Consider the following 21,417-nt stretch of genomic DNA (forward strand, 5'->3'; position numbering starts at 1 on the left):
TCATGGCTCCCTGGTGATGGGACCCCTTTTTTGTTTTGTTTTGTTTTTTTGTTTTTGTTTTGGTTCGCTTTTGATTTTGGAATAAATGGATTTAGCCATACTGCTCGGCCTGGCATGTTCCTGTTTCCCTCACTGGGTCCTGCAGTTTTTCCCACTCAACGAGGAGCCCCAGAGTGTCTCAGCATGTCCAGCTGGGCTGTGGGGAATCTTCCAGGCCTGTTACCTGTATGCTGCCTGGTGACACCTGGTGGATTTCACGAGGACTGCCATGGCGCCTATGGAGTATAGTCCGGCCCTGACAGCCAACAGGTTGAGAAGCCTGATCTAGCTGTGGTCAGGAAGACAGATACCAGTGCCCAAGGGCACTGACTTCCACCCACCCCAGGTGTCTTCCATTCCATCCCCCTGCCTCCCTCTCCTGTCTGCACCGGGTGGCCTGTCTGTCCCTCCAGAGTGCCGGCTGCCCCACAGGCTCCTTCCAGGCTGAGTTCAGGGCCCTGTGCCCTAGTGGCCAGAGCCGGCTTCATAGGATAAGAGCCAGCTAAGCTCCAGGGACTTTCCAGGAAAAGTGTCCCTTGAAAAGGGTGTGACCTTTTCACTGCTGCCAACAGCACCCTAAAAATGGCTTGGCCTCTTCCCTCCCCTGAGCTCCATAGAGAACACAGCCAGCAGAGGACACATTCTCTGTCATTCAGAAATGGGTTTCTCAGCCGAGGGACAGCAGGACTGGTAGAGACTGTCAGGCCACACAGCTGCCTGCACAGCACCGCCATGCTTGGCCAGAAGGGCGGGAGGGATGGCGGGGGCTGGCTGTCCACAGGCCGCGCATGTCCCGGAAGCTCACTGGAGGTGGTGCACTTTGGAGGGGCGATGTCAGGAGACAGCTTCCTCTTGCTGGGCTACAAGACTCCACAAGCACAGCACGGGGACTGGTTCCCAGTTCTAGAGGCGAGGCAGTCGACCACATGTATATATGTATATATATATATGTGTGTGTGTGTGTGTGTGTATGTGTGTGTGTGTGTTTGTGTATGTGTATATATATGAGAATTTATAGCTATTTATAGAACAGGGCAGGGGCATACTACAGAGGGGGCACAAGTTTCAGCAATGGTCACACCTGGACGTGTCAGCTCACCGCTACAACAGACTTAAGTCACAGAAGAAGGGGGCTGGCTTTGGGGCTGGGGGAGCCACTGTCAAGTCACAGGACACCCGCCCAGGCAGGCTTGGAAAGGGAGGTCTCTGAGAAGAGGAGGAATCTTTTTAGAGGTCGAAGTGGGGCCTGGGGCTCTCAGGACGGGATGGACTTGCCTGACCCGATCAGCTGGCAGTTGGAGAGAAAGCAGAGAGAAAACGGGTTAGAGAAAAGCCAGAGCTGGTTGAGGCAAGTGCAGAGTATGGATGCGCTGCAGCAGCTGTGGAGGGCCGGGGAGGGGAGGGCGTAGGTGTGGGCATGGCAAGGTTCCTGGAAAAGAGGGGCTGGAAGGGAAAGGGGAGGGAGATGGAGGGAGAAGCCGGAGCTTCATAGGTAGTGCCTGGGGGCTGCGGCGGCCCTCCCCACCCCACACACGCTGGCCTCTTTCATGGCACCCAGGCAGTCCACCCATAGTTCAGATGAATGCTCAGCCCCCTCGGGCTTCTCTCTTCTCTGGTCACCCTGTCTTCCAACTCACGGCCCAGGGCCACCTCTTGCTTGGGGAGCCCCACCCAACAGCCACCAGGCCTGATAGAAAGGGAACACTGCTTGAACCAAAAATGGTGAAGCTATAAGGGATGGATGACTGGAGTGAGTGCCAGAGGCCCCTCTGGGTGGTCCGAAATCCCAGGGTCCTCTGAAGGGACCCTGGGGAAGGCAGGGAGGGCAGGTAGCCGGATGCCACTGGCCATAGACTTATAAGTCTAAGAGGGGAGCCTCAACTGGTTGGCGGGGGTGGGGCTGCAGGTTGCATAGGTGAGGCTGGGCCCTTCCTGCTGGGAAAAGCAGAAGAGGGAGAGTCCATGGCAGGAGAGGCAGGTGGGCTCGCTAGGCGGAGCTCAGCTGGGCCAGCAGGCACTGTGGTCCCCTTGGCTGAATAGCACAGGCGACCCCTAGGAGCAACAGGCCAAGGTGTGTGAGCCTGCTGGTCGGCGATAGTGCTTCAGCGGGGGCCAGGGACCCTGCCTTCGGTCACACACTAGCAGCTATGGTGGTACCTGGGAGGGAGGGAAGGGGGCTGTGTGTCCCCGCCTGGCCTGTGGAGTGTGGAGTGTGTTGTGGGATGACCGTGTGCATGGGACTCTCACCTAGATACCACTGGATTGCCGACAGATAGATGAGGTGGGACCCTGACTATCAGCCCTGCTTTGCAGTGGATTTGGCTCTCAGCACTCCCAGGCTGGGAGCTGGATACCTGCCCTGGCAGCATGACTCAGACTGCACGACAGGTACGGCATGCCCAGGATGATGTTCTTAGGGACTGGTTCAGTGTGTGGGTCAGGAGCAAGTCGACAGGCCCTGCTCCTTACCCCTTGGAAGGGACTGCCACCAGGGGCAGTTCTGACTAAGGCCTGGGAACCCATGACTCAGAGCGTGGGTCCCCAGGTCTTGCTGGGCCAGCCTGGCTGCTGCAGACAGACAGGAAGCACGCCTGACGCTCCTCCACCCTCGGTCAGCACAGCGGGGCTGGGACTCACGCTAGCCTTCCCAGCAACTTGCTTTCCTGCGTGAACTCTGGCAGGCTGCCCTCTCTGTGCAAAGCCATAGCTGGGGCCTGCTCGGGGCCCTCTCCCTCTTCCACCTGCTCAGGGTGGCCTGGAACTTGGAGGTGGGCAGTCGGCACCTAGGATGGGCCTGTGTCACTAGGGCATGTGTCCTTGGGCCAGTTACTTCCTCTTAGAGCCTTGGGCTCCTCCTCTGAGAATGGGGCGTGTTGGTGTGAAATGAGGTGAGCATGTTGAGTTGAGGAGCAGCAGGACAGGCACCTGCAGGCAGCCCCCCTGGCCACGTTCCCCTCCCTCCCTTCCAAGTCCTGGGACAGACGCTCTTCACCAAGGGGTTCAGCTTCTGATGCTCTTTCTTGGTCTCAGTCCCTAAGGAGTAATTTTTTTTCTTTTCTCTTCTTTTCTTTGAGACGCAGTCTCCTCCCTCTGTCGCCTAGGCTGGAGTGCAAAGGCGTGATCTCAGTTCACTGCAACCTCTGCCTCCCAGGTTCAAGCGATTCTTCTTCCTCAGCCTCCCAAGTAGCTGGGATTACGGGTGCCCACCACTGCACCCGGCTAATTTTTGTATTTTTAGTAGAGATGGGGTTTCGCCACATTGGCCAGGCTGGTTTCAAACTCCTGACCTTAGGTGATCCGCCCACCTCAGCCTCCCAAAGTGCTGGGATTACAGGTGTGAGCCACCGCGCCCAGCCAGGAGTGATTTTCAGTGGTGTCCTCTCCATCCCCAGCATACACCCAGCCCTGAGCGGCCGCGGCTGCCACATGCAGGCTCCAGGGCTACATTTGCCTTTCGTCCAGGGTTGTCATACGCTGGAGAGTAGAATGTGAGAGGTGACCCCTGTAGGCTGCAGGGTGGCCCCTCTGAACCTTAGTGTCCCCCACCTGTAGAAGGGGCGTAACACCTTCCAGGGGGAGGGCTGAGGAGGAAATTGTCAACGGCTGAGTCTAAGGCTCACAGCCAGAGGCCAGGGTCGGATCCAGGGCTGGGCCTGGGCCTGGGAGGACAGTGTCCGCCCCTTCTCCAGCCTCCCGCCCCTGGTCAGGCCAGGACCCTCTTCAAAGCACCTTTATGCCCATCTGTTCCCTGCTGTGGGCACTACTGTCTGGCTCCATGGGACTAGATTTTATGGGAGGGGAAGGGGCTGTGGGTAGGCAGGTGCCAAGGTGCTGGACCATAGATCAGCATGGTAGGAACCTGTTGCTTGGGCTGGTGGTGGGAAAGGGGCCACCCCCAAGGCAGTGGCAATTAGCCCAGCCCTATCTCTGGGCACAGAGATGAAGGGACACGTGGGGACACAGTAGGGCAAAATTGGCCAGCCTGCTCTTCCCCTCTCTGCCCGCTTTTTTGCAGAAGAGTCAACAGATAGAACAGACAGAGCCAGGGAGGTGCCCCTGGGGGCCCCAGTCCCCACCACTCCAGGGGGCAGTCCCTGCAAGTGACAAGGTGGGCTCAATCCCTGTGGAACAGGTCTCTGAGGACCACAGAGAGGGGCCCCAGGGAAGGCTGGGAGCCTGAGCTGAAGGCAGGCAGCAAGTAAGGGCCAAGCTGTGCCCCTGCCCAGAAGACCTTCCTGCCCCCAGAACCCCACCCTCTGCAGACAGGCCTCCCTGGGCAGCAGCCCCCCGGCTTCCGAGGCCTTCCGTGCCTCACCAGATGCCATGCTCTCAGGGACTCGTTTGCTACGCTGCCCCCTGCAGATCTGCCCCAGAGGAGCAGGTGAAAAGCCGCACCTGCCGAGGTGCTGCAGCGGTGGAGTTTTGGGCAGAGGGGTCGGGGGAAGAGTTTCTCACTTTTAAGATTCCCCAAATCCAAGATGAAGTCACACTGTGCTTTAGAATGGTAGATGCTCATTTATGTAAAATCATAATAAATGTTACACAAACTGTTAGAATAAAAAAATACCTTTTTCGAGGGGGAGGAGCTCCCCAGCCTGCCGCTGGGTAGTGAGAGGGGGTTAGCACCATTAGGGCGTAGGGGTCGGGAGCTCCGCCACAGCCCGTGGTGGGCACTGAGGTCTGTCGGTCGGTCTGTGCATCCTGGCACTGTCAGTGGCGGGTGACCCGCTGATGGCCTCGGGAGGGGGCGCCGTGGCTGGGCGGAGAGCACGAGCGGCAGCACTGGGTGCGGACGGTGGGCAGCTGGCAGCGGCCCAGTAGGCGCAGTGTCTCACAGAACCCGAAGGACAGGCGGTCCCGCTCACAGCCTGGAGTGGGGGGTCAGAGAGGCATCAGAACCAGTGGTTTGGGGTACCCAGAACCTGGCTCCCCACCCCAACCACCTTAAGGAGGCTCCAGCAGCTCCCCACCAAGCAGAGAGCCCCGGTTTTTGGAGCGGCTCCCAAACCGGAGTTGCAGGTCTCCAACTGTTGGTGTCTCTGTCCCACCTACTCACGGCCGACCCCAGGACTCGAGAACGGGCGCTGCTGGGCTGAGGTTTCTGGAGGAAAGGTCCTGAGACCCCACCCTGACCCCCTCACATGACTGTTAAAGAGCCTGCCCAGGGCGACGCCCTGCCATCCCATCTCCATCCTTGCTCACCCCTGGTGTTCCCCGACAGATCCTGGCACAGAACTGCGGTCCCGGGGCCTCCTGCCAACCTGCAGCGGCCTCTGCCCCCGACTCCCGCCACCGCCCCCTGCCCCAGTGCATCTGTCCTGCCAGACCTCCGTGACCACCTCCAGCCACAGGGGCTGTACACAGCCTCGGGTTCTGAGTCACAGGTCGCATCTCCCAGGCCAGCCTCCCACTTCCCAGGTGGGCCAGGAAGCCTAGAGAGAGTGGGCCCTACAGGCTGTCAGCGGAAACCAGGGACTAAGCCCAGGCCCAGTGGGGAGGGAGGCCGGCTGCAGGCTGTGCTTGTCAGGGCTGAGGCTTGGCTGGGCCCTCCTGCCCCGTGGTTATCAGAGCTATTTTGGGAAGTGGCTTGTTTCCAGCCTCCTGGCCTTGCTCCTGATGCCACTGCCACTGCTGACAGCCCCCACCTGCCCCCTGGGCCCTGCTTACTCCAGCAGACCTCCCTGGGGAGGAAGAGCGGGAGGACAGCAGCCAGCCCTGTGCCAGGGACACCCCTCAGGCCCGGCAGAGGGCACGAGGCCGCAGGCAGGCTCCTCCACCCCAGCTCCAGGCAGAGCTCCAAAGTGCACATCTGCAGGCCTGCATCCTGGTCGCCCGGGGTGACCTCAGACAAGCTGCTTCACCTCTTGGGCCTCGGTTCCCTCCTCTGTCAACCCCACCTCCACAGCAAATGGATGTGGCCATGCTGTGTCACTGCAGCGACTGCACACTCTGGAGTTTCCCGGCTTTCCCCCTGTCCCGCCAACTGTCCCACAGACCAGCAAAACATCCTGGGAATTCCAGGTCTCAAAGTCCAAGACACCTTCCCAGCTGCCCCTCCACTGTTCACTGGTGGCAGAAAACTCCTCACTTGGGACAGCTTCTAGTTCAGCCACCTAACCAGCCCCCATAGCCCACTCCCTGCAGCCCACTCATACCCGCCCCTGGGAGACCTTGCAAGCCCAGAGCCTCCTGGGCCATCCGTCCTTGGTTCTAGGCCCCCAGGGGCCTCAGTTCCTGTTCTCTGCCCCATCTGGTCCTCATCCCCTGGGATCATAACCACCCCACTCCCTGTGGCCAGCTCTAGCCATGAAGGCGAGAGATGTGATGCCAGCACCCAGCTCAGGCAGCACACAGGAGTGCTCTGAGATGCTGGCTGGGTGCGTGCTGAGGGCAGGCAGGACAGGGTGGGGGCACTGCCACTTGGCCTTGAGGTAATGGGGTTTGTGGCAGGAAGGCCACCCCTGCCAGAGGCAGGGTAGCAAGGCATGGCAGCGAGGCATGGCAGGGGCCACTCTGAGCCCAAATGAGGGCTGCCCAGGAGCCAGCGCAGGTAGAGAAGGCTGCATTGGACAAGGGGAGAAGGCAGACTGGGGAGATTGCAGGGGGCCCCGAATGCCAGCTTGAGGGCCGTGGCTGAGGACTCTGTCCTAGGGTCAGGGGGCAGACAGCCAATAGCACAGGGGCCGCAGCTCTTCAGGCCACAGCTCCTGGATTCCTTAGACTGGCAGGGTCAGCCCCAGGCCCTCTCCCTGACCTTGCAATTGGGGATGACAGTGGCTTTGGGGGAGGGGAAAAAGCCGCCTTCCCTGAGCACCACCTGGATCCCCACGCAGTGCTGTGCCCTTCATGCCCAGACCTCACTTATGCAAGGATGGGGCTTGGCAGCCCCTTTATTCAGCACATGAAGGCCCTGAGAGGGAAATGGAGCCCAAGGCCACACAGCTGGTGAGGGGAGCCCAGGTGACACTCCAGGGCCACCCCATTTCCTGCCCTCAGCACTGCTGAGAGCAGCTGGGGCTGCAGGAAGTGTGTGAGTGTGTGTGTGTGTGTGTGTGTGTGTGTGTGTGTGTGTGTGTTGGAGGTGGGGGGTTGGGATATCCAGAACCACCTCTAGCTCAGGCCCTTCCACCAGGACCCAGCTGGCCAGGAAACCCCCCACCACTGGGATTAGCAGGACCCTGGAAGGGAGGCCCTTCCTGTGGTTCCATTGCTCACTCTAGGCAGTCCTCTGGCCAGGGAATGGACAGGCCAGGGCTGGGGAGGGGACAGGGACTCACCCAGGCCCAGTTTTCACACAGCTTCAGGGACATCCCCGGTCTCACTGTGGGAAGACTGAGACCCAGAGGGGAAAGAGCTTACCCAGGTTCACACAGCAAATCAGGGGCCAAGGCCACTCCCTCTACTCACTGGAGGTCAGAAAGCTGCCTGCGGGATGTTGTGTAGCTGGGACTTCTCTTGACTGACTCCCAGCACAGCCCAGCCTCCAGCATGGGATCCTGTGGCATCAGGATTTTCAGTGGCTCCTGAGCCCAGACTACAGATGGAGCCAGCCGGTGCCGTGGGTGCAATGGTTTGAAGACCCAATTTCCCCATCACCCTTCCCGCCCCACCTCACTTCAGCAGAGAGCTTGGGGTCGGGGGACTCACGGGGAGGCTCGACGGGCTCACAATCCTCGGTGCCACACAGCCGGGAGCTCACAAGGCCAGGCCTCGTGGCCACACTGGTCACTGTCTTCCTCGGGTAGCCCCGTCTGGGTGTTGACACACTTGACCAGTGTGTGACCACTGGATGCCACCACCACAGGGGCCTGAGCACTGGGGGGGAGCAGGGGAGGAATGAGTGTCTCCAGGGCCAGCCCTAGCAGTGGGGGCAGGGACACCTCCTCTGGGAAGCCGTCCCTGCGCCCTGTGCCTGACTGGTCTGCCCTTGCTCCCAGCCGCCCTCTCAGTGCCTCCTGGAGGACCTGTTCCCATTCCTAGAGCCCACTTGGTGCTGGAACCCCACTCTCACTTGTGGGATCGGCTGCTGCAGAGGGAAGGGGCATGAGAACCATGGGACAGCCCTTGGGGCGGCAGGGCAGTGAGCCCCTCACACGGGACATGCCTGAGAGGCCTGGGCAGGGGCCCCGGGATGGAGCCCTGATGCAGCAGTGAGCAGAGACGTGGGCGAGACACCGCTGTGCCCGAGGGACAGGGCAGAGGACCTGCCGCAGCCCATGGGCAGGAGGGGTGGAGACAATTTCACAGCCGGGGCCCAGCCCGCCAGGCTTTGTTGTTAACAGGTGCAGGTCTGAAAGCCCTAAACATGTGCTGAGTCTGTGCCAGTGTCGTGCTGTGCCCGGCCCTGTGCTTTGTTGCGTTCCTCCATTTAATCCTCCTGACCCTCCTCTCCCAAAGCGTCCCAATTTTACAGATGAGAAAACTGACCCAGCAAAGCAAAGCAACCTGCCCAGAGTCACTCAGCAGCCAGTCGGACAGACTCAAACGCTGGCCCAGCTGACTCCCGGACCCAGCTCAGGGCCCAAATCTGAGATTTCTGAACCCCTCAGTTCCAAACAGGCCCAGCAGAAGGTGTCCTGCCCATACGAGGCCCCTCTTCTGCCCCCTTCTGCCGCTGGCCTTTGCTGGGCTCCCTGATCTCCCCAAGCTCATCATTCCTGCCTCAGACTTCACACCTGCTGTCCCCTCGATCCCTGTCCTTGGCATCACTGACTCCTCCCTCGGGTCTCAACCCCAGACCCCTCCTCGGAAGGCCTTCCCTGACATCACAGCACACATGCCCTTTCCTTGTCTGTTTCTCCCTGTCAGGTGTGAGCACCAGCATGGCAGGGCTTTGTCCAGTGACTGCTGCATGTGCAGGGGCCACAGACAGCCTGGCTCACAGCACACACTCCACAGCTCCTTCACCCAACCCAGGACTGACCAGGCGCTACCAAGCACTTGCTCCCTGCTCCCCCCCGCAGCCTGGCTCACCTGGCCCCAGGGCCCCACCACCCACTGTGTGCAGGGGTGGGTGTTGCAGGGCCGGGTGGTGTTGGGTCTCAGTGCCTCCTCGCAGAGGTCTGGCTCTGGGCAGGTCACCAGACGCTGCTGCTCACCACCGCCACAGGCCTCGGAGCACTGGGTGGGCAGGGAAGGAGTCAGGGCACAGCCAGGGTCTGAGGGTGTCCCCTCCCCCCAACTCAACGCCCAGGCCTCACCTCCCTCCAGGAAGACATGTACCAGCTGAGGCAGGGCTGGGCCCCGCAGGGCCAGTGCACAGGCAGCTTGGCAGGTCCAGGCTGACAATGGAAGGGCCACAGTGGCCAGAGGGCCCATGTGTCCACATGCTGCATGTCCCACACTGAGGAACCTCTGCCACAGCTGTGGGAGCACTGGGGACCGAGAGACTTGTGTGGACACATCCCCACGTGCAGGCCCACAGGCGTGACCCCGTGAGGCGTGTGGCAGGAAAGGCATCAGACCCACGCCCCAGCCGGGGGCAAATCCCTGAAGAGCCCCAGCGAGAGGCCAAGGCTGGCAGGCCCCAGGCAAAAGGTGGCATGGCCAGGGGCTGCCATGGGCTGGGACAGACAGAGAAAGGGAGGAACAAGTCCAGATGGGGTCAAAGATACAGAGGAAAGGAGACAGGCCAAGCCAGACAAAGATGAGATGACTCCCAAGAGATTCGGAATCCGGTGCGATCAGGCACATAGACATGCAGCCTGGAGCCCTCCCCTTCCCTGCCGCTCTCGGAACACAGGCCGTGGGGAACCAGGGCTCCACCCCATGCCCTGGGGATGCCTGTCCTGGCTCCATCCTCATGCACCTTACTCCAGTTGCCTGAGTGCCAGGTGGCACAGGGCCACAGGTGGCAGCGGCGGGCAGGCTGGGGCCGGCCAGCGGGGTCGCAGTCCTCATCCCGGCTGGAGCTACAGCGCACCGGCCTCCAGAGGGCACCCAGGCCACAGGTGGTGGAGCACTGCGGGGCACAGACCCGTGAAAGCCAGGCAGAGCCCATCCTCGCCAGGCCTCCACAGCCAGGAAACTACCCACCTAGGCTAGCAAGACCTCAGCAAGACAGGGGCCCTCTTCTGGGCCTCAGTTTCCTTATTTGCAAAATAGGCTCCTCCACCCACCTCCCAGGAAGACCATGAGAATGAAAAGTCAAATCCCCCCAGCAACCAGCCGTCCCTGCTCACATGGGACAAAGGGCCTGTGTGCCAGTGTCATTGGTGCAGAGGTTCGGGGGAGGAGACCCTGTGGGCACCCCTGACCAGCTATCCTGACCAGCCTCGTCGCTTCCCAGAGGCACCAGGGAAGGAAGGCTGGGTCCTGGTACCAGCAGCCAAATCGCTGCCTGTCCCCGCGCAAAACAAGCCCTGTGGGCCTCAGCCTGCCCCTTCCCACCCCAAAATTAGGAATCTGAACAGAAGCTTGCTTCTCCTGCAGTGACCATCTGGGGACCCAGGGAGGGGGCACTAGCCAGCTTCTTTCATGCAGCTCAGACGTCTGCAGGTCACTGCCAAAGGAGGGTGGAGCCACTGAGGGCAGAGCCAGGTAGCAGTGGGCTGAGTCCAGCCTGGAGGAGCCAGGCAGAGCCTCAGGGAAGCTGCTGCCTGCTGGGCAGGACTGGGCCTGGTGGCCACACAGGGACCCTCCCCACTGCACAGCTGTCTGAGCCAGCTCCATCCTGGGGCATGCTGTGCTGCCAGAGTGTGCCTGCCCCTGCCTTCCCTGAGGCCCCCTGTGCTGCCCAGGAATGGGCCCCAGGTCCCCTCATTCCCCTAATCCTGGGAACCCCCGCCCCAAGGAAGGCGAGACAGACGGCGCCTGCGTCCCACTCTGCTCATTTTCAGATGAGGAAATAGTCACCAAGGTCCTGCGCAAACTCCCTGCCCGCCCAGCCCACACCACTTGCCTCGCTCCAGTTTCCCACTTGTCAGCCGGCGTTCCTGACAACCAACGGGTCCGTGGGGGGCCCCGCTTCAGCCAGGCTGGGAGGCAGTGGCTGGGTCTCAGGGGCTCTGTGGCTGTTGGCGGGGCTGTCCCAAGCTGGCATGGACAGCAGCCTAGAGCTCAGGGGCACCTCAGGGCTGAGGGACTCAGGCTGACCCTTGGGTCCTGGGTTCAGGGCAGGCTCAGGCGTGTGCCCGAGGTCAGTCAGGGTTGTGGGGAGGAAGGTCCCCCACACTGCCACAGTCTGAAGGTCCCATAAGCCTGGTCCTGGGGTTGGGAAGGTGGGAGTCCCCGGCTGCAGGGGACTGTCGTTGCCCTTCATCTCTGGCAGAGGGGCTATGGGAGGAGGAGGGAGAGAAGCCACCCCAACAGTGGGCCACAGTTCACTATCCACAGGCCCCAGGCCACCCTCCAGAGCTGACTCCCAGGCTACTGTCCCTCCTGTCCACAGCTCCGCCACGTCAGGACTAGGAGAGGAGTGGGTGCTGCTGACCGGGTACAAAGTGGGCAGCGTGGGGCTGGGTCTCGGGGGCAGGTGGGGTGCTCCGCAGCCCTCGGGTTCCTCATCATTTGAAAACCTCATTGGTCCTGTCCTGCCATGGAGAGGGCAGCTGGCTCTGGCTGTCCTTGCCAACTGGGAAATCATTTTGGCTCTCAGGGGCGGCAGGCATCTGCAGGCCATCAGTGGAAACCCTGGGCCAGGGCAGGCTGGGGAGCCCAAGATCTGGGGCCCCTATGGGGGTGTCTCCCTCAGGCAGGAAATGATCAAAGGGTTCCCAGGGGTCTGCTCTGAGGGTGGGGGTGGGGAGCGGCTGGCCTGGCTAGGCCAAGGGCTCGGGGACCAAGGTCCCGTTGCCCCTTCCTCCTTGGCTGCAGGAGGCTCTGTGGCAGGCACGGGGCTACCCGTGGAGGGCGCAGCAGGACGGCTGTGTGGTGGGGGCGTCCGATCCCCTGTCCCCGCCAGGTCTAGATCGGGCTCCTCAGAGGGCCCGTAGGACAGAGCCTCGTGGAAGCTGATGAAATTGTAGTCGTAGTAGAAGTCGTCCACAAACACGGGCCCCGGCAGGTCCAGCTCTGGAGCCTCCTCCTCAATGGCGTTGCCCATGGTGCCTGGCTTGGGTGATGAGGCGGGTGAAGGGCGTGGGGCCAGGTGGCACGGGATGAAGTCAGCCTCGTTGAAGAGCTCGTGGCTGGAGGAGCCGCTGCCTGAGCCTTCAGGGCCCAGTGTGTCCAGGGGCCACCGACAGGGTGGCAGAGAGCAGGCGACTTCGCTGGCTGGCTGCTGGGCCTCGTCACAGGGGACACCGGTGTCACTGATGCAGAGGACATTTCGGTGCTGAGTCCCTTCCTCATATGTCACTGAGCACTGCAGGGGAAGCCAGGGTGAGGGGCTTAGCCTGGGAGGCAGGCTGCCAGGGGACACTGGGGCAAGGCTGGGTAACCTGTCCACTGCCTGATGTCAGAGTGGCAGAGACCCCAGCCAGCCCTCTCTGGCCCTTCCCAGCTCAAGGCCATGACTGTGGCCATGCTTGCCAGGGGCTTCCTGATCCCTGAGGCTTTAGAGTCAGGGGCTGGACCCTGGAATGCCCAGGTTCCCTCCCACCCACAAGGTCTCCAGGAAGGCTGTCTGCCTCCCTGTAGCTGAAGACCAAGGGTGGGGCTGGAGGCGGGCACCTTCCCATCCCACACTCACCTGAGACCAGTTCCCCACAGCCTAGGTGGCCGGACAGGGCACATGGTGGTTGCAAGGGGTTTCAGTAGGGGGCCGGGGAAGGTGTTCACAGGCGGGTGGCTTCAGGGCGCTCTGCTCATCCAGCCCCACGCTGCGGATGCAGAGCACAGCCTGGCAGGAGAGGCCCCCAGGCCCGCAGGAGCTGGAGCACAGCTGCCACTCACCTGCCCACCACCTGCTGAGGGCACACAGGTGTCATCAGTATGGCATCAGACAGGTGGCATTGGCAGGCTCACCAGCAGGGAGGGCCAGGCTGGGTTTCCAGGCCCTCGGGGTTTGGGCAGTGCCAGAAGCCAGTGGATGATTCTCCAGAGCTCCAAGCTCAGGTAAGTGTCCTGCCCTCAAAGTCTGGTGACAAGGCACAGCCCCTCCACTCCTGCCACCCTCCCCTCAGGGAAACTGAGCATGACCTGAGGCCTATTTCCACATCCAGGGACCCCAAGAGGAGGACCATAGGTGTCCAGGCTGGCCCAGGCTGGGGTGAGGGGTGACCGGGGGTTGGGGCTTCAGCCTTGGGAAGAGAATGAAAGCCCGGCTCCCTCTGCTCCTCCCCAGGGCCTCCGGGGACCCAGATGTAGGGGCCTGTGGCAGACCCAGGATGCCTGGGGGTGGGGAGTTGGTGGGGGATGGGGGCGGGCTCACCTGGCAGGGCAGGGCTGCTGGCTGCACTTCCGCTGGCAGTCATCGGGCCGGCCCAGGGGGTCACAGTGCTCCTCGTCCACGGGCCCTGCCTGCCGCTCCGAGCAGTACACACTCTGCCTCTGCACACCTAGGGGCCATGGTGCTCAGCCTGGGACTGGCACCCAGGTGCCCACCGCCCAAGACCCAAAGACACCCTCTCTGCCAGAACCCTCCCAGAACAGCGCCTTACTGCCCATGTCAGGATGCCTTACTGCCCATGTCAGGATGAAGGCAGACCTCCACCGTCGCCTCCTTGCTGTCCTCCCGGTTCTCACCCACCCCCTCTCCTATGTAGCTTCCCCTCTGACTGCCCCTGGAGGGGTGGCAGAGTGTGGAGGTTTAGTGGGTTGGGTGCCCAGACCCTCTGCATCCTAGCTGAGATGCCTGGGCAGCTCATTTGGCCTCTCTGAACCTCAGCGTCCTCCTCTGTGAAGTGGGAGCGACAATCCTGCCTCCTCCATGTCCTGGAGGGAGGACTGCATGTGTTCTTGCATGTGCAGGCTCGGCCCGTGCCCGGCACATCCTAAGAGCTCGATCCATGCCAGCTGCTGCTAGCATGCAAACCCAGCCGTGGCTCCTGCCACCTTCCCCTCAGGGAAACTGAACGTGACCTGAGGCCTATTTCCACATCCAGGGACCCAAAGAGGAGGACCATAAGTGTCCAGGGTGGCCCAGGCTGGAGTGAGGGGTGACCGGGGGCTGGGGCTTCAGCCTTGGGAAGAGAATGAAAGACCAGCTCCCTCTGCTCCTTCCTGGGGTTGGCTTGGGTGATGAGGCGGGTGAAGGGCATGGGGCCAGGTGGCGCAGGATGAAGTCAGCCTCATTGAAGAGCTCATGGCTGGAGGAGCCGCTGCCTGAGCCTTCAGGGCCCAGTGTGTCCAGGGGCCACTGACACACGGTCCCACCATCCACACCCTTCCCAACGGCTCAGAGAATGTCTGGACAAGAAATGGGGCATCAATGGACAGCCCCTGCTCTCCATCCCCACACCAGCCTTGGCACTGCTCCAGTCCTTTACATCCTCTGCCACTGTCCAACCTGGGGACTTTGCACAGCCACGTTCCTCACCTTGGACACTCACTTCCATACTGCCTGTTGAGGCCCAGCTGCAGGACCCCGTCTGCTGGTGGCTCTGCCTTCTCTGCTCCACCCCCTGCCCCGTGGTCCCGAGAGTAAGTTGTCCCTCCCCTGAGCTGCCAGTCCCAAATCCATCCCCCTCTTTCCTCACCAACAGAGTCTGATTTTGTTCAAGGCAGCAGTGGGACCTGCTGAAAACACACCCCACTGCCGCTCCCTTGCAACTAGGGGGGTCTGGGACACAGTCCTGGCTCAGGAGAAAAAGGCACAAGTCCCTCGCTGGGAGTCAGCCCTTTCCTCTCTCCTTCTTGCCTAGAATACTGCAAGAGCCCTGGAAGGGAGGACACCATCTGTGGCAAGCAGGAGTGGAGGGGAGGCTGCTATGGCAAGGATGGTGTGGCTGAGGGCCAGTCAGCTCCAGGTCCCGCCAGCTTGGACTGTGCACCTGGGACTTCCTGCCTGAGACAAAGAACCCCTGTCTCTTCCAGCCACCACAGGGCACTTGCCTCTGCAGACGCTCCTAAGTGGTCCACCTGCGAAGCAGCCAATTTGCTGAAAGGCAATTCCCCAAATGTCTAGTGCTGCAAATGTATTTGTTGGTTTTCACGTTTGTCCAATTAAAGACACCTGTATTAGGCCAGGCACAGTGGCTCACGCCTGTAATCCCAGCACTATGGGAGGCCAAGGCGGGCGAATCACCTGAGGTCAGCAGTTCAAGACCAGCCTGGCCAACATGGTGAAACCCCATCTCTACCACTAATAAAAAATTAGCCAGGCATGGTGGTGCGTGCCTGTAAATCCCAGCTACTCGGGAGGCTGAGGAAGGAGAATTGCTGGAACCTGGGAGGCGGAGGCTGCAGTGAGCCAAGATCGCGCCACTGCACTCCAGCCTGGGCGACAGAGTGAGACTCCATCTCAAATAAAATAAAATAAAACAAAATAAAATAAAATAAAGACAGCTGTATTAGATAAAATGGGTTTCCTAGCTTTGGAAGGTAACTGCCCAGTTCTCCATTTTCACTTTGTCATCATAATAGCATTTGAAGGAATGCTCAAACGTCTGTATATCAGATTCCCGATTCTGAGACCCTGAGGATACTGAGTGTCAACGATGGGAAGACTGAGGGGGAAAGGGGAGGACTAAGAGACAAAGGGGGAGACTGAGGTGTGGGGAGATCGAGGAACAGCAGGGCAGACCGAGCAGGGGGAGGAAGACCAAGGGGCGTCGGGGAGGACTGGGGGGCTGGGGGGAGACCAAGGAATGGCGGGGGAGACCGAGCCGGGGGAGGAAGACTGAGGGGCGTGGCGGGGGTACTGGAGGGCCGGAGGGAAACTGAGGGATATTGGGGGGAGACCGAGGGGTATGGGGGCAGACCGAGGGGTATGGGGGGAGACCGAGGGGTATGGGGGGAGACTGAGAGGCATGGGGGGAGACTGAGGAGTATGGGAGGAGACCGAGGGGCAGAGGGGAGACTGAGGAGCAGTGGGGAGGAGACAAAGAGACAGAGAGGGGAGACTGAGGAGCATGGGGGGAGACTGAGGGAAATATGGGGAGGAAGAGTCGGAGTTAATGAAATTGCCCTACTTTTCATAAATAGTTCAGGGAAATAAGTCATGTGGTGAGGGGCCTGGGCTGGTCTCCGGGACGCAGCAGAAATGCAGGCACAAAACCTGCCGGAGCTGAGCAAGGACAAAATCAAGGGGGAGCTGTGTCCACTGGAGGGAGAACGCCAAGAGCTGCAGCACACTGAGCACACGCCGCGAGCCAGCACCCACCTGCCTCATCCATTTACCCTCCCAGTGGGCCTGGGACATGGGGCGGTTGCTAGCCTCATCTCACAGATGGGGAACTGAGGCTCAGAGAAGCAAACTTCTAAACCCATGGTGGCCCAGCAGTGAGCTGGGAGCTGAAGCCGGTGTCCCTGTCCAGAGATGAAGCCCCTGCTGGCGGGGCTGTGCCTGCCCCACTTCTCACCTCTGCCACAGGTGACTGTACACTTGGTCCAGGGCCCACAGTGCCAGGAGAACTCGGGCGGCGGGACCTCGCCGTGGCCACCTGCCTCCCTGTGGATGGTGTACTCGTAGTGCACCCCAGGGTTGCTCTCCTGGAACAGCAGCTGGGTGGGCAGGCGGGGGCCCGTGAGCACGAGGTGTCTTCTCCATCCACCCAGTCTTAAAGGAGCTGACCCCAGCCACCTCTGTGAACTGCAGCTACACAGTTGGGCCATCTTAAAGATGGGGAAACCGAGGTAGAGGCCTCAGCAGGAGGGTCTGGCTCAGAGCCAGGCTCTGTGACTAACCCAGGGCTCACTCCTCCAGGACGAGACCTACCATGGGAGGTGCTGGGCCTGGGGACTCCGCCTCTGCTCCCCACGCCTGGGCCTCGGGAGGCAGGCACCTGGATCCAGACAGGCTCCTTGGTGGGACCCGGGGACGTGAGGTTCTCCCAGTTGCCCCTGCGTGCGTATGTGACGGTGGTCCCTGCCACCTGGTAGTCCCCGTTCTACTGGATGGTCCAGCCACCATTGAGGAAGTACTTCTCCGGGTCCTCGCTCTGCAGTGCCAGGAAGTTGGCAGCCTCAGCCACCTCCTGGATGCGGACCTCACGTGTGCTGGCTGGGATCAGCCCCACGTCCACATACCCTGTCAGGCAAGGGTTGTGCCTGGGGTGAGAAGCTTGCTTATCCCCACCTGCTCCCCTCACATCTCTCCCCACTTGCCTCCGCCTGCTGATGCCAAAGATTTTGCCATTAGCTTTAAAGTCTGAGCTCCCCAAATTGCTCGGATCTGTCATGGGTCACCAAAACCTTGCGGAGGTGCCACAAATCCTGACCCCGTGGCCATGCCCCGTCACTCCTCTCTTGGGGACCTAAACTGGTCTCATCATAAGGCTGGATCCATCCCCTACTCTAAGGGCCGGCTGGCATTCTCTTTCTAAAAAAAACCAAAGTGCCCAGGCCTTTCTCCTGGGACACCCTCCTCATCCCCACGCAGCCTGCTTTTATTCATTCACTTCCATCACACCCATCACGTGCCGGGCACTACTCTCAGCACTTCACATGTGTAAGCTCATGGGTGACGGCCCTATAGCATGGTACTATTGTTAACCCCATTTTACAGATGAGCAAAGTGAGGCAGACAGGGAGAGTAACGTGCATGAGCATCCTGCTGCAATATAAGCAGCCTCCAGGGCCAGTGCTTTATCCACCACACTGCACTGCATCTCTGGGATGAAATCTAAGCTTCTCAGCCTGGCACTCAAGGCCCCATAGCTGGCCCTGCCTTCCCTTCTTGCCTCCAGGGCTCTGGCGCAAGCTCTTTCCTCCATTTGGAATGCCCCTTCCATCTCTTCTGAGTTTTATGATTCAGCTCAACTTCCGCCTCCTGCAGGAAACCTTCCCTGACTTCCCCAGGCCAGGACCTTCTTCCTCAGTGCTCCCACAGCCCTCTGGGCCTCCCTCCACTGCACTGATCACACCAGAAGGTTCTGTCCCCCTTCAGGACTGAGCGCTTCACCTGCATGTCCTCATCACCTAGCACACAGTCAGTACTTCAGCAACATGTGCAAAACAGACCAGAGGTGAGGGCATGGAGCTGGGGGTCTCAGAAGATTCAGGAGGAGACGACCATTCTTTGAAAGGCCCAGGGGCCACACACAAGTCGGGATGGCCCTGCCTGGGGTCTCTGGGACAGGAAGACTCCCCATGGGGACAGGTCTCTGCGTGTGGGCCAGGGGTCCCCTGACTCCTGCAAGAATCCACCCCAGCAAGCCCTCCCTGCTTAGCCATCTCTAGGCTGGGTGGGGGCCACGAGGCCAAGGACAGGGGCCCGGGGGAGATGGGGAAGGGGCCACCAGGTGAAGAGCACACCCCTCCCCACAGTGGTCCCACCCCATACCCAGGCCCTCGGCCTCCTCGAAGGTCCCACTCACGGTGTGGCAGGTGGAGCCGTTGCCGTGGCACACGCCACAGCGGTCCTCCATAGTGCCAGAGTCAATCTCAAAGTCACAGCCCCACGTTCTGCAACACACGAGGAGGGGAGGCCCCTGGTGCTGGCGGCCAGCCCTCTGTGGCCCCAGCCCCGGGGGCCAGCCAGGGTCAGGAGAAGAAAGCTGGGAGTGGGGGTCGGGAGGCCTCTCTCTGGCCCTGCCCCACCCCAGCTGTGCCTCTGACCCAGGTGAACTTCTCTACCTCCCTGAGCCTCAGTTTCCTCAGATGTGAGACAGGGAGACCCACCCCTCCCTTAAAGGCATGTTATGAGCATCACAAGAGACAAGAGAAGGGAAGAGTTCTGCAAAGCCTGCGGGCAGGCAGGGGATCTGACACGCCACGGGCTCCTGAGCAGCGCGTGCAGGGAATTTCAACGTCAAAGGCACTGGGGGTTGGCACCTCCCTCCTGGTCCTCCTCGGAGCCCAGGCCTTGATACCCCAGTGGTTTAGAGGGCAAGAAGCAAGGACAAGTAGGTGGCTGGAGACATGGGCAAAGAGGAGAGGCCATCGTTGTTATTAAAAATAAGAATATAAATTGTTACCAAACACTGAGGGCTACTCTTCGGGGCTCAGAGCCCTTCATGTCACCTGTGCCACCTCATTTAACCCCTCTATCAGGGAGCAAACCACTGCCTGGGGTCAGCCAGCCAGCAAGAGGTCAAGCCACTGCCTGGGCTCCGGTTTCCTGGCTGGGGCGGTGCTGGTGCAGGCATCCAAGGAGACGCAGTGGGGCGAGGCCTGACTTGGGGGGGGTCCCCAGTGCCAGGAGGCGTGGTAGGGGCTTTGCCTTAGAGGTCATAGAGGGTAGGGGCTGGGAAGCCCAATGGTAGAGCATGGGGAGGGTGGCCCGAGGAGGACCAGGAGAGAACCTGGGGCCCGCCAGTGGGGCTGGGGGCAGGCAGTGCTGGGAGAGCCTCTTCCTAACCAGGCACACCTTACAGATGCCGTTGATGCAGAGGTCCCGGCTGGCTCGGACCTGGTAGCAGGGGGTGCCATCAACCACGGCGTCCCGCAGCTTCTCGGCAAAGTACTCATTCGCGGGCCGGCAGTGCAGCTCACAGGGGTTCACTGGGGGCCCAAGTAGAAGAGTCATCAGCAACAGCTGGAGCGGGAGTATGGAGGCCACCAGGAAGACCCCTCCGTGACACACATCCATGGCAGGCTGGAGGCTCCCAAGCAGCACAAACATGCTGGAGGCTCCGGCTGGGCTGGTAGCTATCTGCAAGGCTGCAGACTGGGGAGCTAGGGGCGAGCAGCAGCCCCAGGGGACAGTGGGAGTGGCCCAGGCTTGGGGTGGAGACTGGGTCTCCTGCTTGCATCACAGGGTAACCTTGGACCCACACCCCGCTCGCCGCCCTCTGAGTCTCAATGTTTCCATGGGAGGCAGCACTCACCGTCATTGACCATGGGCACCCATGTGTGCAGCTGGCCCTCGTAGAGCATAGCGTCAAAGTGGCTGCACTGGACGTGGCGGAAGGAGGGGCGGCCAGCGGGGCAGGCCTGCAGGTTGCAGAGGCGGAAGCGCTTCCGCTTACCCACACAGTATCTGCCTTTGTATCTGGGCCTGTGGGGAGAACCGGGGTGGACCCCAGTGAGGGCCCAGTGAGTGCTACTGCATGGCCACAGCCCAGAGCAAGCAGCTTCCTCCTGCACCCACACCCCAAGATCCCTGCTGCCCAGCTTTGTGCACGCTGCTTCCCTCCCTTGGGTTGCCCACCCTGTGGCCCAGACACACCCTCCCTGTCTGTAGGGACCTGTGGGGAGGTGGCAGCAGGAAGCCTGAGCTCTGCCCCCAACCTGCTGTGTGATCGTGGACAAGTCTTCGGCCACCCTCTGGGCCTCAGTTTCCTCATGTATAAAGTGGGGTTGGGGCTGCCCCTGCAGAGGGCTGTTGAGAAGCTGGGACAAGCTGCAGGCATGACTGGCACTGGCTGGAGGGACTAATCCGAGTCTCCAGCCCATGACACCAGCATCCTAACGAGCCCTTGAGTCCTCAGCCTTCCTCCTGGTGGCAGTACCCCCAGCCTGGGTCTAAAGGAAGCGCCCAGGGCCCCAGCCAGCTGAAAGGTCTGACGGAGCACAGCTCCTGAAATCCTCCACATTTAGGCCAGGGTCGCTGGCCCCCACCCAGCTCAGACCTGGAGGCCAGGAGGCAGGGAGGGGCACAGGCCAGTCTTGGGTAAGCGCAGGGCCCTGGGTGGGGCCGGCTGTGAACCCCATGCCTGCCCCGGGTGGCCACCTGAAGTGAAGATCAGCCGGGTAGTGCCTCGGTCTACAGTACCACTGGCCTCTGCTTCTCACCAGATCTTCACACCCCCTGCGCCCCCCCCATTTAGATGGGGAAACAGAGATCCAGAGAGGTGAAGTCACTCACCTCAGGCCACCCCTTCAGTGCTGTCCCATCCTCCCAGCTGCTCCATCTCATCTCAGGCCCTTGTTGTGCCTCTGAGGCCACCAAGCCCCTCCTGCTGAGTGCCCACTACAGATGAGCTGCAGGGCTGAGGGGCTGGCCTGCATAAACTGCATTTGCCCCTGACTACAACTTTACTGGATGGGCACTGCTATTATACAGGTGGGGAAACGGAGGCCCAGAGAAGGGGTGAAGAGGGGATTCGAACCCTGAGCCATCTAAGGTCCAGGGCCCATGCTCTTCCCCACTGCCCTCTCCTGCCTCCTTCCAGCCAGCAGCTGCTTTGCCACGTGGCCTCTGCTGAGTCTCTCCAGTCTCTGGGCCTCAGTGTCCCCCTCTCTGCAAAGGGGTCAGCAGTGGGGACCCTGTCAGCCCTCAGAACACTCCTTGAAAGTGACTCAAGGTGGCCTGGACACTCAGACTGACCATTATGAGGACACTTCTAAGAGCCAGGGGCTGGGACAGAGCCAAGCTCCTGCAATCGGCTGACTGCCTGGGTCCCTCTGTCCCATTGCCCAGGGCACCCTGGGCCCCACACTCACATAGGCAGC

The 21,417-nt window shown here is 61.1% G+C and overlaps 2 pseudogenes, besides 4 other annotated features; both read right to left on the reverse strand.

The window, feature by feature from the left end:
- Window positions 681-1,972, reverse strand: DNM1P45 (dynamin 1 pseudogene 45; annotated as a pseudogene).
- Window positions 2,609-2,948: an enhancer, noted in NCBI's record as "active region_10002". NCBI's record gives its function as "activates an Ori minimal core promoter by ATAC-STARR-seq in GM12878 lymphoblastoid cells {active_cell/tissue: GM12878}" and the evidence as "EXISTENCE:reporter gene assay evidence [ECO:0000049][PMID:35858748]".
- Window positions 4,535-20,020, reverse strand: ADAMTS7P4 (ADAMTS7 pseudogene 4; annotated as a pseudogene).
- Window positions 8,787-9,287: an enhancer, noted in NCBI's record as "H3K27ac-H3K4me1 hESC enhancer chr15:85802852-85803352 (GRCh37/hg19 assembly coordinates)". NCBI's record gives its function as "activates a minimal SCP1, AML or CMV promoter by ChIP-STARR-seq in primed H9 embryonic stem cells {active_cell/tissue: H9 hESC(primed)}" and the evidence as "EXISTENCE:reporter gene assay evidence [ECO:0000049][PMID:30033119]".
- Window positions 9,288-9,788: an enhancer, noted in NCBI's record as "H3K27ac-H3K4me1 hESC enhancer chr15:85803353-85803853 (GRCh37/hg19 assembly coordinates)". NCBI's record gives its function as "activates a minimal SCP1, AML or CMV promoter by ChIP-STARR-seq in primed H9 embryonic stem cells {active_cell/tissue: H9 hESC(primed)}" and the evidence as "EXISTENCE:reporter gene assay evidence [ECO:0000049][PMID:30033119]".
- Window positions 11,398-11,955: an enhancer, noted in NCBI's record as "H3K27ac-H3K4me1 hESC enhancer chr15:85805463-85806020 (GRCh37/hg19 assembly coordinates)". NCBI's record gives its function as "activates a minimal SCP1, AML or CMV promoter by ChIP-STARR-seq in primed H9 embryonic stem cells {active_cell/tissue: H9 hESC(primed)}" and the evidence as "EXISTENCE:reporter gene assay evidence [ECO:0000049][PMID:30033119]".

This window comes from Homo sapiens, chromosome 15, assembly GCF_000001405.40.
Source record: "Homo sapiens chromosome 15, GRCh38.p14 Primary Assembly".
NCBI lineage: Eukaryota > Metazoa > Chordata > Mammalia > Primates > Hominidae > Homo > Homo sapiens.